The 15,964-nt window shown below is 38.9% G+C and overlaps 1 protein-coding gene and 1 pseudogene across 7 annotated transcripts in view; both read right to left on the bottom strand.

Moving 5' to 3' along the window:
- Positions 1 to 15,964, bottom strand: part of LRRC7 (leucine rich repeat containing 7) — a 576,443-nt gene that overhangs the window by 220,275 nt on the left and 340,204 nt on the right. The window lies entirely within an intron of this gene.
- Positions 3,773 to 4,768, bottom strand: PIN1P1 (peptidylprolyl cis/trans isomerase, NIMA-interacting 1 pseudogene 1; annotated as a pseudogene). Its single transcript, NR_023916.1, has one exon. The product of NR_023916.1 is annotated as a peptidylprolyl cis/trans isomerase, NIMA-interacting 1 pseudogene 1 (transcript).

The following is a 15,964-nucleotide window of genomic DNA, read 5'->3' as shown; positions in this document are numbered from 1 at the left end:
CCTGAGAAAAACAAGAAATGGGGAAAGGATTCCCTATTTAATAAATGGTCCTGGGAAAACTGGCTAGCCATATGTAGAAAGCTGAAACTGGATCCCTTCCTTACACCTTATACAAAAATTAATTCAAGATGGATTAAAGACTTAAATGTTAGACCTAAAACCATAAAAACCCTAGAAGAAAACCTAGGCATTACCATTCAGGACATAGGCATGGGCAAGGACTTCATGTCTAAAACACCAAAAGCAATGGCAACAAAAGACAAAATTGACAAATGGGATATAATTAAACTAAAGAGCTTCTGCACAGCAAAAGAAACTACCATCAGAGTGAACAGGCAACCCACAAAATGGGAGAAAATTTTCGCAACCTACTCATCTGACAAAGGGCTAATATCCAGAATCTACAATGAACTCAAACAAATTTACAAGAAAAAAACAAATAACACCATCAAAAAGTGGGCAAAGGACATGAACAGACACTTCTGAAAAGAAGACATTTATGCAGCCAAAAAACACATGAACAAATGCTCACAGAAATGCAAATCAAAACCACAATGAGATACCATCTCACACCAGTTAGAATGGCAATCATTAAAAAGTCAGGAAACAACAGGTGCTGGAGAGGATGTGGAGAAATAGGAACACTTTTACACTGTTGGTGGGACTGTAAACTAGTTCAACCATTGTGGAAGTCAGTGTGGCGATTCCTCAGGGATCTAGAACTAGTAATACCATTTGACCCAGCCATCCCATTACTGGGTATATACCCAAAGGAATATAAATCATGCTGCTATAAAGACACATGCACATGTATGTTTATTGCAGCACTATTCACAATAGCAAAGACTTGGAACCAACCCAAATGTCCAACAATGATAGACCGGATTAAGAAAATGTGGCACATATACACCATGGAATACTATGCAGCCATAAAAAATGAAGAGTTCATGTCCTTTGTAGGGACATGGATGAAATTGGAAATCATCATTCTCAATAAACTATCGCAAGGACAAAAAACCAAACACCGCATGTTCTCACTCATAGGTGGGAAGTGAACAATGAGAGCACATGGACACAGGAAGGGGAACATCACACTCTGGGGACTGTTGTGGGGTGGCAGGAGGGGGGAGGGATAGGGATAGCATTAGGAGGTATACCTAATGCTAAATGACGAGTTAATGGGTGCAGCACACCAGCATGGCGTATGTATACATACGTAACTAACCTGCACATTGTGAACATGTACCCTAAAACTTAAAGTATAATAATAATAAAATAAAAAAATTAAAAAAATTAAAAAAAAGAATAGTATTTCGAGGTGGATGCTATGACCAATTGCGACAAAAGCCGCTGACAGATCTGAGAACTGACCACTTAATTTGACAACATGGAGATTAGTGGTAATTTTGAGATGATTAGTTTTAGAAGTTGTAAGCTTTTGCCAATGCTCTTTCTTCTATCCAATATGCTTTTTACCCATTTATCACTCAAAATTATTTATTCCATAACAAAAATACATTGATTTTCTATTTTCTCCCAAGTTTAAGGTTTTAAAGATGAAAGGTGTTGTCCCCAGTATTAAGTAGTTCATAATCGAGAGAAATTACAAGTGGAATGAACAATTTCTACCCAATATGGCATTTGCCGTAAAAATCATACGTGTAGGTTGCTAGAGAACAAAAAGGAGAGGTACTTTTTCAGCCTTGGGGAAGGTAGGAATAGAAAATAGAAGGCTTTACTGAAGCTTTACTTTGGAGGAGTCAGGGGAGATGGTCATTTCAGGAGAAAATGTCAAAGAGGTAGGATGGAAGAGATCATGGTGCATTCAAGGAACTGCAGGTTAGCAGGAATAGTAAGAAAAATGTGCCGGGCACGGTGGCTCATGCCTGTAATCCCAGCACTTTGGGGGGCCGAGGCAGGTGGATCACCTGAGGTCAGGAGTTCGAGACCAGCCTGGCCAACATGGTGAAACCCCCGTCTCTCTAAAAATACAAAAATTAGCCAGGCATGATGGCAGGTGCCTATAATCCCAGCTACTCAGAAGGTTGAGGCAGGAGAATTGCTTGAATCTGGGAGGCAGAGGTTGCAGTGAGCCGAGATAGTGCCATCGCACCCCAGCCTGGGGGACAAGAGTGAGAATTCGTCTCAAACAAACAAACAAACAAACAGAATGAATGTAAGAATTGATAAGAAATAAGAAAAATGGTAGGAAGTAGTAAGAAATAATATGTAGGTAAGCACTAGATCATGAGATTATCTCCTGTGTCAAGCTAAGGAATTTGAGTTTTAGCTTGAAGGCAATGGAAGGCTTTAAGATTCAGGTAGGAAAAAGATACCAGGTTTTTATTTTAGAAAGCTCACATCAGCAACTTGGAATGATGTGGGCAATGGGGACAGGATATGTTAGCCATAAGGCCAGATAACAGACTGTTTTGAAATTCATGTGGGATATAATTGGGGCCAGAAATAAGGCAATGGCAATATGAATAATGTGATGTCAGATAGGAGAGATGCTTTGGAAAAAGACATGACTTGATTAATGATGATGACTGATTGGATGTCAGATGTAAAGGAGAGGAAAAAATTAAAGATAGTCTCTTAGTTGAATAGGAGTGAGAGTATATTAGAATGGAATAAATCTAAGGTGGAGATAGGTTGAATGTAATGGATTGTATTTTAAATACTATATTGGCTTTGAGGTGAATGCAAGACACTTATATTAGGAAAAAGTGTGTGTGTGTGTTTGTGTGTGTGTATGTGTGTGTCTGGAGCTCAGGCAAAAAGTCTTCACTGGAAATAAAGACTCGAGGAATAAAATCTTATCTACTCTACCTGAAAACGAACTCTCCTTTTAAACCCACATTCCATTTTCTTCCTTTTGCATGACTTAACTTGGAGTTTACCACACACGTTCTTGAATTGTTACTTTTTCCAAATCTATCAGTCTCCTTTCTCCCCCCAGATCTTAAAATATGTTTCAAGATACCCAGAATGTCCTGTGTGGGACCACCAGCAGCCCAAAGATGGTTGTGAAACCTTGGCCAATGTTTTAAGGAGAACATCTGCTACACCTCTCACTAAATCTATACCACTGAATAGGTGCTTCCAGGGAAAGGGGCTTGGGGAATAGTTGGGGCCCATGAGGAGAGAATTAAATTGTCTTCTGAGCCTGGGAATATGGAGTGGCAGATTCTCTCAAACCTTACTCTGAGACCACGTACCCAACAAACAAACAATAAGCACCAAAGTATTGGGGGCCCAGATGAAGGACCAAGTAACTAAGTGTGTCAAGTGAATAAGAAATGCTCATAGGAATAGTAGGTCACCTGCTTTTGACTTGACTGTATAGTTCTAGGCAACATGTATTCTAGTGAGAACCATAATGAGCTAAAGACCAGAGGTCTTTCTGCAATTTCTGGGATTCTATGAATTCCGTAGTTCTCACTGATGTCCCAGGAGAGTATGATATAAAGCTGAGAGTGGATTTTTGCCAGTCCAGTGGTTGAGGCCCAAGACAAAACTAATTTTATTAAAAGAAAAAATGAGTGATATCTTATGCTTCAGTGTATTAAGGAATATTTTATTAGTAATAGGACTTATCTTTGTATAGGATAAATATTAATGATCTCTTAAATCCCTTGTATAATAGTGTTTCCAGACTCCTAAACACACTGATTATTCAATTTAGACTTACTAAAATTTGCCAATGTTTATTTTCCAAAACAGAGCATGCTCAAGTCTATCTGGCATCCTTGGTGGTTTTTTTTTTTTTAGTGGTTCCGGATTTAATTGGGGGTGAAAGGGTGCTGCAAAGTTGCTCAGAGGGCCCACAGCTGGGCCCACGAGTGTTTGCTTTTGCTACTGAACAGAGAAGCGTGGCCTAACTACAAACAACTCTGGGCCCTCGCATCTGCCTCCAGGACCTGGTGGGACATGGGGCGGCTCTGCTGACCAGATCTTCTCTTTGGAACACTCCTCCCACCACATTGCCCTGGGTCTGCGAGCCTCCCTCCCATGCTGAAGTCAACTCCTTAATGGAGAGTCTGGAGGTCGCAGCCCCAACTGGGGACTGACAGGGAGTGGGGAACCCCAGGGCCCCCAGTCTGGAAGGGCCCCCAGTCTGGAAGGGCCCCCTCCCAGCCATTTTGGTAACAATAAATACTGTGTGACAGTGGCAGGGAGTGGGGGGTTCGGCCACTGGCCAGCAGGCAGCGGGGGAACCCCGAGGCCAGGCCTGGGCCCCCAATCCTCACTCCGTGCGGACAATGACGTGGATGCCGGAATCCGTGAACACTGTCCCGCTCATCTCCCCCGTCCGCCGCGCAAACCAGGGGTCTTCAAATGGCTTCTGCATCTGACCTTTGCTGAAGGCACCCAGGTCTCCCCTGGCCTTGGCCGAGCTGCAGTCGCTGAATTGTGAGGCCGGAGACTCAAAGTCCTTCTCTCCTGCCTTGATCTTCTGGATGTAGCCGCTGATCAGCTCCAGGGCCTCCTCCTTGGTCCGGGTGATTTCCTGCCGCCAGGTCGAGGGCCGCCTTGACTGGCTTCACTAGCAGGTGCGAGCGGCGGACCCTGGCGGGCTCCCCCTGCCAGATTTTGCCGCCACTGCTGCTGTTCCCGCTGGGCCGCTCCCACTGGCTGGGGTTAGTGATGTGGTTGAAGTAGTACCCTCGGCCTGAGGGGCGGCTCATGCGCTTTTCCCAGCCAGGCGGCAGTTTCTCCTCGTCCGCCATCTTTCCTCCTCACGCTCTTGTTTTTGTAAATAAAGTTTTATTGGAACACGGTCATATTTATTTGCTAATGTATCTAGCAAATACATTTGGCTGCTTGTGTACTACAACCACAGAACTGAATAGTTGAGAATGACACCCTATGGACTGCAGAGCCTGAAACATTTCCTATCTCTGAGGGCCTGGTGGCAGTTAGAATTAAACTCTACTCTGTAGATACTTTCTGACCAAGACAATGTATTAAAAAAAATTATTTCTTACCTTTATATTAGTGTAGTTTAAATTTGATCGATTCCTTTTGTGGGAAGAAAGGTACACTCTATGCCACCTCTAAGTCTTTTTCTATTGCTTTTGAAACCTTTGGTTCATAACTTCATGCCCGGGAAACCATATTTTAAAATTTATAATATAGCTTCCTACTATTCCTTTGACAGTCTTTTGAATGGGCAACAATTTTCTTTTGCTTGTTCTGGGGGAAAGAAAAGCTGTCCCATAGGGTTTTATGACCCATTTCCTGAAGCTTATTTATTTAAAATACCATTTCTTCTATTTTAATTTTATCTCATTTTATTTATATGACCGTAGTTTCCATCAGTTTTTAATTATCATCACTATAGTTTCATTCTGTCACTACATTTTCCACTTTTGAAGTTGTCTTTCTGCTGTTTCCCTACGTTTTGTACCTTTAAAATATTACATTCTTATTTCTGTTTTCAGAGATGGCATTCAGTATTATTGGCTGTATTTCACTCTTCTAAGTTTGACTGTCTTCACTTACCCACAAGATTTTAGACAGTCCATAACACAGTCTATTACTTTTCTTGTTCGTGTGCCAGTTGCTAAACTATAATCATTCTGTCAAATTGTCCAAAAAAAATGTTCCTTTTAGATGAACATATGTAACAGGGTTTTTAATTTCATGAGCATACAAACAAGTAAGATTTTCTCAGAAAAATAAAATAGAACTCATGGTATTTTTATGTTAGTATTGTTCTTTGTGAGCAATCATTCATTCATTCATTCCTATAACGTGCTTCTTTGTGGCAGGCGCCCTGTGGGCACTGGAGTTACAAAGATTCCAGAGACGCAGGGTTTCTCCACCTCAGCACTACTGACATTTTGGACTGGTTAATTCTTTGACATAGGGGGCTATCGTGTGCATTGTAGGATGTTTAGCACATCCTACACAGCCTCTGCTCTGAAGGGCTTATTTTCTAAATGGGAATGACCTTTAAATAAATAATTACTTCATAGAGTGACAAGTGCCACGATAAAAGTATGGATAGATTGCTATAGGAACACAGAAGAAGGAACAACAAACAGTTCAGTAATTAGGAATAATTTTAAGAAGTGGCATTTGAGCTAGGTTTTAGAGAAACTTGTTATGAAAATCACATGTACTTGCAAATGTAAAGAGAAATAATGAAAATACTGAAAGAGTAATTCTAAAGTTGAGATATAATCAACAGATTTTTTTGAGATTGTAGCTCGAGATAGCATTATGCACATAATCTTATATATGCAATACAACCTCAAAGGATTTAAAAGATTTTGGTCCAAAGTGAAGAAGCTCTAAAAATTCCCATTAGAGTATGTTGCAGGAAAGTCTATTGTCCTACTCTCATGAATGGAAAAGGAAACTTCTGGGATGTAGTGTTTGTCAACCTTGGCACAACTGACATTTTGTATGAGATAATTGTTTGTTGTGGGGGACTATCTTGTGCACTCTAAGATGTTTAGCAGCATCCAAAGTACCCACTAGATACCAGCAGCACTCTTTACAGTTGTTACCATCACAATGTCTCCAGACATTGTCAAATGTCTCCTCTCTTTACTGATTGTCAGAAAAGTAAGCATCTTACCTCCATTTGTTACCTCCTTATGCTACTAGGTGGGTTCCCATGTGGCTTTCCCTTAGCTATTCAAACTAGCCTACCTGAGGAATGCACTCATTGGCTCTACGCCTTCTTCATGAAAGTAAGCACTGGTGGCTCTGGGGCCTATCTCCCTTTCTCCACATGGAAGTCCATTGGTGTGATTTCCCTATACAAATAGCTGAACCTGAAGATATGATCTCTACTGTAGGTCACGGAGCAAATATTAGGACTTGATCACAAGTTTGGCACACATTCTCCATCAGTAATGCTAACTATTTGAACTTCATCCCTCTGAACCAAATATCTTGCTGATTATTTAGACTCATTTGCATATTAACTCAGTTATCTTAAGGAGAAAGTTCTAATAAAAATGGTGGTATTAAATATTTACCAATCTATAGTTACATTATACATGTAAAATTGTTGAAATGTGTAAAATTTCTAAATCATTGCTTTTATTATTGCTGTTGCTCCTGCCTGTAATGTTATTCCTGTAAATCTTCTCATAGCCAGTCCCTTTTCCTCATCTCAGCTCATAAGTTAGTCCATTTTCCACCAACCAAAATAAACTATCCTTCTTGCCTTCATTTTATATATTACCCTATTTTATTTTCTTATTAACACCACTGAAAATATCTTAGTTTTTATTTGTTTATTTGTTGTTTTTCTCCCTCTGCTAGATTTAAAGTCCGTGAGCGCAAGTAACTTGCCAATGTTATTCACAACATAAATAGCTTCTCAACCAGTGACGGTTAAATGAAGACATTTACACAGGCATGAATGAATGATTCTTTACCAGTAAGAAGCTGGAATTCTAGAATATTTACAAAGAGAAACCACGCAATTTCTATCAGGCATCTATAATTAATTGATAGTTGCCAAGGAGGCAGCTATAATTAATTAACAATGGTCAATGAAAAATCCTGACAGGCCTATTTTAATGAATACTATAATGAGGATACGTTAGTTTACTTATTGTGGAATATGCATGGAGCTAAAGGCAGATAAGGCAAAGTGCACCAGTCTCTGTATGTTCAAATCTTGTGTTAACTTCCTGACATTTCCAATAATAGGTTTTTTAAAAATTCAAATGATAAAAGAAATATTGGGTGAGATGTTTAGGTAGTTTTTACTTCTCTGAATATCTGAAGTGCAACAACAAAACTATATATATATATAGTTTTATATATATAATATATATGATATATATTTATATTTTATATTTATATTTTTATTTTATATAAAATATATTTATATTATACATAATAAAATTTTATTTTTATATATAAAATATGTATGTAATATATATTATATATATAAAATATGTATATAATATATATATTATATATATAAAATATGTATATAATATATATATTATATATAAAATATGTATATAATATATATATTATATATATAAAATATACATATAAAATATATATATAAATTTATATATATATAAAATAGCTAAGACCACGGACCCTGGACTCAAACTACCTGGGTCTGAATCCTGGTTCCACCACTCACTAGCTGTTTGACTTTGAACAAGCTAAATAACATCTTTGAACCTCAGTTTTGTCATCTATAAGAATGATAATAAGAATCCCTATGTTATAGGGTTACTGTTATGATTAAAATAGTTAATATAGGTAAACCATGTAAATAGTGCCTGACACATGATAAATACTCTCTGTGTTAGTTATTAAAATACTTAGTGAAAGCTTTCAGAGTTTGAAAAAGCTTTAGAGATCGTCTAAGAAAGTGTTTTCTAAAGTTTTTCCAAGGATTTATAAGTGTTGCATGATTTTTAAAAAATTTCAGATGGCCAGTACATTTTGGCAAAGCTTGTTGAAAAAAATGTTACGCTTCTTATTGGCAGGACTTCTCAGACAAAATATACAAATGTTCGTTGTGAATCTCTAACAGATGGAAATAGTTTAAACTACTTCCTGTTTATGTAACCAAGGAACTTTTTCTTTCTTTGTTTCCTGCAGGACATTTCTTAGACTAGAAGCACACTTTGCCAGAAGTTTTTCTATCAAAACTTCATTTTGCAGAAGATGAAACAGTTCTTGTGTATCTCAGTCTGTGAAATCATAGACATACTTAATTTATGAAAACACAGCCCTAGGTTTATTTAAGTAGGTTATTGTGAGTATTTAAATTAGATTAGATCATCCTCATTTGCCTGCTTGAAACTCTGACCTGTTAGGCTCTGCGCCTCCGCTCCCAATATTCACTTCAGGCTCTCCTTGCATTTATGATTATTTTGGACATAGTTCTTTGGCTTAGTGTCACATTCCCCTTAAAGATGATGTGGTTTTGCCATTTGGCCTTATGCACTGTAACCTCAGCAAAGGGAGACACTCCCTTTTTACTAGAGGAGAATTGGTGACTTGCTCCATATCACACAGAAAATTAGTGACAGTGCTGACACAGGATCTTCATCTCTTTTTCTAGCACTGGCCAGTCATCTGAATCTGGCCTGTTTTGTCTGGCTTGACCATTGTTTAAATATGAATGTTTTTATGAAAAATATGTGCTCTACAGTTCACTATATTCTATGCCAGGAGTCAGCAAACATTCTCTGTAAAGGGCCACATTGCAAATGTTTCAGGCTCTCCAGTCCATATGGTCTCTGTCTCTACTCAATTCTACCATTGTTATATTACACGATATGTTAACAAATAGACATGGTTTTGTTGCAACAAATCTTTATTTACAAAAACAGACTTGCCAGATTTGGACAAGACATAGTCTATCAACCCTATTCTATACCTGTTCTTAAAGTCTAAGAATATTTAAGTTTCCAGACCATGAATAAAGATATAACAGATAAATTAAGGATTGAGAATATTTATTATTATAAAATTGTCACTAGATAACTATTTATATTTGTGTATTATTTGAAATCCTTAACTATTTATATGTATGTATTATTTCAAATAATGAGGAACACTGCTGGAATCCAGAGACATTTGCTCTTAATGCCGTCATTTTGGTTGCATTTATTAAAATTAAGTCCTTCCTATCATGCTATCACTTTACAGCATTTATCCGATTGCAAAGCTGGAAAATATTCCAGTTGAAGCAGTGATGGAATTTATGCAATATTTTGGTACATCTGTCACTTTGACAAAATTGTACAATCTATGATTTTCTTTCTATTAGATTCAGAGGTTTTATCCATTTAAATGTACGATTACCTCTGAAGCCACATGAATTTGGCTGGAATGTTGTTTTCCCATAAATTTCCAGTGCAGCAACTTGGATTTGCTGACTCAGGATTCTGCAAATTTTTGGCATGGACTTATGCATTCCAGTTTTTAACTTGTTTTTCAAATGTGCTCACTCTTTCCAATTACTGGCTATTCATGGCACAAGGACAGGAAAACTTCTCCCAGTTATTGCTGTCTGATGTCTCTCTCTTAATGACACTTAAAAAAAGAATTTTTTCACTTTGCTTAGTCTGTGTCCTGTGTTTAATGGACATTTGGATTTTATGATTTAGACCTGTCAATTTTATCACATAATCATGGTCTTCTCTTGTTATTAATTCATCTCTTTGAATAAACTGCATATTATAAAATTTTAGAAATAAATTGCTCTTTACAGCACAGTTACTGAAGACTGCAAGGCCCAGGATTTTATATTCTTTAAAAATGCAAACTCAGGCTGAGCACAGTGGCTCACATCAGTAATCCCAGCACTTTGGGAGGCCGAGGTGGGTGGATCATCTGAGGTCAAGAGTTTGAGACCAGCCTGGCCAACATGGTAAAGTCCCGTTTCTACTAAAAATACAAAAAATTAGCCAGGCGTGGTCATGGGTGCCTGTAATCCCAGCTACTTGGGTGGCTAAGGCAGGAGAATCGCTTGAACCCGGGAGGTGGAGGTTGCAGTGAGCCGAGATCGCACCATTGCACTCCAGCCTGGGCAACAAGAGTGAAACTCCCATCTCACAAAAAACAAAAAAAAAGGAAACTTCTGGAACACCTCATTATGAGAATATGTAACTTATTGTTGTTATAAACCAGGAAACATTAAATACCTAGTGTCTGATGGCAGATAAAACATAATTTCTATTATCAAATGTTTTCTTTAGTTAATACTATATCTTAAACCAAAGTCACAGCTGTGATTGTTTGTACTTTTCAGCATTTCAACTCAACTTCCCTCAAGAACAACAAAAAGTCAAACTGGCTTATGGCATCTTCCAAAAGGATATGTGACCAAATTAAACATCTATTATTTTGTGAAAGAATATTGGAAAGACCTAATTTTTTAAACCACTTTGTTAATGTTTATCAGTTAAGGTATTACTCCTTGCAATATTTAAATTATTAGGATAAACATTGAAAATATATAATTTGCATTAAGCTGTCACATATTTTGAGGATTTCCTTAGGAAATATTTTTTCCTTTTAGATATTCAACATTGAACAGTTTAGGTTAATTTTGTGATGTCTTATTGAAAAAGTTTTCTTTCCTATGATTATCTCTAGTTTAATGCACAATACGAAAAAAAGATTCTGTACAAAGAAGTAACTTCATTAGTAACCTTTTAAGAATACATCTTGTTTATACAGTAAGGTATATTTGTTAAAAAAAACAGAAAGATTAAGTTGTAAAATTGTACCTTAATAACAGCAACTGGCTATAGGACAAATACTGCACTACTGCTTTTAATGAAGGGTTTAATTAGACTGAAGAGAAACCTGAATTTTATTACTTTCTATATAGTCTTCTTGAATTTATAACCAGAACCAATTATTCATTCATGCTGTACATGAATTTTCCACTGACTGAAAATTATTGTGCAGTCCTAACTCACGATTACACAGCAAAGATATAATCATGCTTGATAGAACTTTTGAGCTCTTTGTGAGGGAAAAGGTGCCCTATAAGCAAGAACAATGACATTATTTCTGAGGGTGGGGGGCTACTCTGTCAGAGCTGAAGGTCCTAGAATGCATAAAGCAGCAGTCCAATCAAAAGGTTATGAGAAACATAATCAGTTACTAATATGCCCATTTTCATTAGAACATATTGCAACCTATATTATATGCTTATGAAGAGATGTTGAATGTTACTGAAAAAATAGTTAAGCCAAGTTAAGCTGTTTTAAAACTCTTGTAGATAACTGGGCAAGGACCACCACCACCACAAAGTTTCTTTTCTAAAAGACCCCTTTAACACATACATATGCATGTGTGCATATACAAGGACACACAATGTGTCAGGCTCATTGTTTTCTGGCTATATTTTATTGAAAAAGTTATTACTTGTTATATTGGGCTTTCTGAGTATTAATATTTATGTACAATCGTTGCTCAGTATCCTTGGGGGAATTGGTTCCATGACCTTCATGGATATAAAAAATCCACTGATACTCTAGTTTCTGCAAAATGGCATAGTAGTTGCACCTAACCTACACACATCCTCCTGTATGCTTTAAATACCTAATACAATGTAAATACATGATACAATGTAAATGCTTTGTAAAGATTTGTTATACTGTGTTGTTTTCTTACTTGTATTTTTAAAATTATTGTAGTTTTTTTTTTTTCAAATATTTTCTATCTGCAGAGGTCTAACCGTGCTTTTACAGAGTTTGGCCTTAGATTGTTGATACCCTGACGGGTGTATCAAATAGGCATAACTCCGTGACTAAGCTGTCAGAGAATTTAAACTTTAGAGGCTAAGGACCTTTAAAAGTAATCTGCCAAAGTAGCCATGGCTATTTCCCATGCAACTACCTTTCTTACTTGCCAGCAGAACCTGCCCTGCATCAGAGATGAGAAATGTCATATAGTCATCATCCAAATTTCTTTTGCAACTAGGACATGAACTTATGACCTAGTTCTGGCCACTGGGACAGGAAGAGGACTCTGCTGGAGGAGATTGTGAGGAAGATTTCCCTCCATGATTTAAGAGGGAGGAAGCATGCAAATCAAAACAACCAGTCAGATAAGATACCATCTCACACCAGTCAGAATGGCTATTACTAAAAGTCAGAAAATCACAGATGATGGTGAGGTTGTGGAGAAAAGGGAACACTTAAACACTGTTGATGGGGAAATAACTTAGATTAGTCATTGTGGAAAGCAGTTTGGCAATTTCTCAAAGAACTTACAACAGGGTGGAGCCAAGAAGGCCGAATAGGAACAGCTCCAGTCTACAGCTCCCAGCGTGAGTGATGCAGAAGATGGGTGATTTCTGCATTTCCATCTGAGGTACTGGGTTCATCTCACTAGGGAGTGCCAGACAGTGGGCACAGGACAGTGGGTGCAGTGCACCGTGCGCGAGCCGAAGCAGGGCAAGGCATTGCCTCACTTGGGAAGCGCAAGGGGTCAGGGAGTTCCCTTTCCTAGTCAAAGAAAGGGGTGACAGACGGCACCTGGAAAATCAGGTCACTCCCACCCTAATACTGTGCTTTTCCAACGGGCTTAAAAAACGGCACACCAGGAGATTATATCCCCCACATGACTCGGAGGGTCCTATGCCCACGGAGTCTCCCTGATTGCTGGCATAGCAGTCTGAGATCAAACTGCAAGGCGGCAGCGAGGCTGGGGAAGGGGCACCTGCCATTGCCCAGGCTTGATTAGGCAAACAAAGCAGCCAGGAAGCTCAAACTGGGTGGAGCCCACCACAGCTCAAGGAGGCCTGCCTGCCTCTGTAGGCTCCACCTCTGGGGGCAGGGCACAGACAAACAAAAAGACAGCAGTAACCTCTGCAGACTTAAATGTCCCTGTCTGACAGCTTTGAAGAGAGTAGTGGTTCTCCCAGCATGCAGCTGGAGATCTGAGAGCGGGCAGACTGCCTCCTGAAGCAGGTCCTTGACCCCCGAGCAGCCTAACTGGGAGGCACCTCCCAGTAGGGGAAGACTGACACCTCACACGGCTGGGTACTCCTCTGAGACAAAACTTCCAGAGGAACAATCAGGCAGCAGAATTTGTGGTTCACCAAGGTCTGCTGTTCTACAGCCACCGCTGTTCTGCAGCCACCGCTGCTGATACCCAGGCAAACAGGGTCTGGAGTGGACCTCTAGCAAACTCCAACAGACCTGCAGCTGAGGGTCCTGTCTGGTAGAAGGAAAACTAACAAACAGAAAGGACATCCACACAAAACCCTTCTGTACGTCACCATCATCAAAGACCAAAAGTAGATAAAGCCACAAAGATGGGGAAAAAACAGAGCAGAAAAACTGGAACCTCTAAAAAGCAGAGCACCTCTCCTCCTCCAAAGGAACGCACTTCCTCACCAGCAACGGAACAAAGCTGGACGGAGAATGACTTTGACGAGCTGAGAGATAACTAGAATGGATAACTAGAATAACCAATACAGAGAAGTCCTTAAAGGAGCTGATGGAGATGAAAGCCAAGGCTCGAGAACTACGTGAAGAATGCAGAAGCCTCAGGAGCCGATGCGATCAACTGGAAGAAAGGGTATCAGTGATGGAAGACGAAATGAATGAAATGAAGCAAGAAGGGAAGTTTAGAGAAAAAAGAATAAAAAGAAACAAACAAAGCCTCCAAGAAATATGGGACTATGTGAAAAGACCAAATCTATGTCTGATTGGTGTACCTGAAAATGATGGGGAGAATGGAACCAAGCTGGAAAACACTCTGCAGGATATTATCCAGGAGAACATCCCCAATCTAGCAAGGCAGGCCAACATTCAGATTCAGGAAATACAGAGAACACCACAAAGATACTCCCCGAGAAGAGCAACTCCAAGACACATAATTGTCAAGTTCACCAAAGTTGAAATGAAGGAAAAAATGTTAAAGGCAGCCAGAGAGAAAGGTCGGGTTACCCTCAAAGGGAAGCCCATCAGACTAACAGCGGATCTCTCAGCAGAAACCCTACAAGCCAGAAGAGAGTGGGGGCCAATATTAAACATGTTTAAAGAAAAGAATTTTCAACCCAGAATTTCATATCCAGCCAAACTAAGCTTCATAAGTGAAGGAGAAAAAAAATACTTTACAGACAAGCAAATGCTGGCAGATTTTGTCACCCCCAGGCCTGCCCTAAAAGACCTCCTGAAGGAAGCACTAAACATGGAAAGGAACAACCGGTACCAGCCACTGCAAAAACATGCCAAAATGTAAAGACCATCAAGGCTAGGAAGAAAACTGCATCAACTAACGAGCAAAATAACCAGCTAACATCATAATGACAGGACCAAATACACACATAACAATATTAATTTTAAATGAAAATGGGCTAAATGCTCCAATTAAAAGACACAGACTGGCAAATTGGATAAAGAGTCAAGACCCATCAGTGTGCTGTATTCAGGAAACCCATCTCACGTGCAGAGACACACATAGGCTCAAAATAAAAGGATGGAGGAAGATCTACCAAACAAATGGAAACAAAAAAAGGCAGGGGTTGCAATCCTAGTCTCTGATAAAACAGACTTTAAACCAACAAAGATCAAAAGAGACAAAGAAGGCCATTACATAATGGTAAAGGGATCAATTCAACAAGAAGAGCTAACTATCCTAAATATATATGCACCCGATACAGGAGCACCCAGACTCATAAAGCAAGTCCTTAGTGACCTACAAAGAGACTTAGACTCCCACACAATAATAATGGGAGACTTTAACACCCCACTGTCAACATTAGACCCGACAACGAGACAGAAAGTTAACAAGGATACCCAGGAATTGAACTCAGCTCTGCACCAAGTGGACCTAATAGACATCTACAGAACTCTCCACCCCAAATCAACAGAATATACATTTTTTTCAGCACCACACCACACACCACACCTATTCCAAAATTGACCACATAGTTGGAAGTAAAGCTCTCCTCAGCAAATGTAAAAGAACGGAAATTATAACAAACTGTCTCTCAGACCACAGTGCAATCAAACTAGAACTCAGGACTAACAAACTCACTCAAAACCGCTCAACTACATGGAAACTGAACAACCTGCTCCTGAATGACTACTGGATACATAACAAAATGAAGGCAGAAATAAAGATGTTCTTTGAAACTAACGAGAACAAAGACACAACATACCAGAATCTCTGGGACACATTCAAAGCAGTGTGTAGAGGGAAATTTATAGCACTAAATGCCCACAAGAGAAAGCAGGAAAGATCCAAAATTGACACCCTAACATCACAATTAAAAGAACTAGAAAAGCAAGAGCAAACACATTCAAAAGCTAGCAGAAGGCAAGAAATAACTAAAGTCAGAGCAGAACTGAAGGAGATAGAGACACAAAAAAACCCTTCAAAAAATTAATGAATCCAGGAGCTGGTTTTTTGAAAAGATCAACAAAATTGATAGACCGCTAGCAAGACTAATAAAGAAAAAAAGAGAGAAGAATGAAATAGACGCAAT

The sequence above is a fragment of the Homo sapiens genome, chromosome 1 (genome assembly GCF_000001405.40).
Source record: "Homo sapiens chromosome 1, GRCh38.p14 Primary Assembly".
In the NCBI taxonomy this organism is placed as follows: Eukaryota; Metazoa; Chordata; class Mammalia; order Primates; family Hominidae; genus Homo; species Homo sapiens.
The sequence above is the reverse complement of the archived record's forward strand: the minus strand, read 5'-3'. Positions and strand labels throughout refer to the sequence as shown.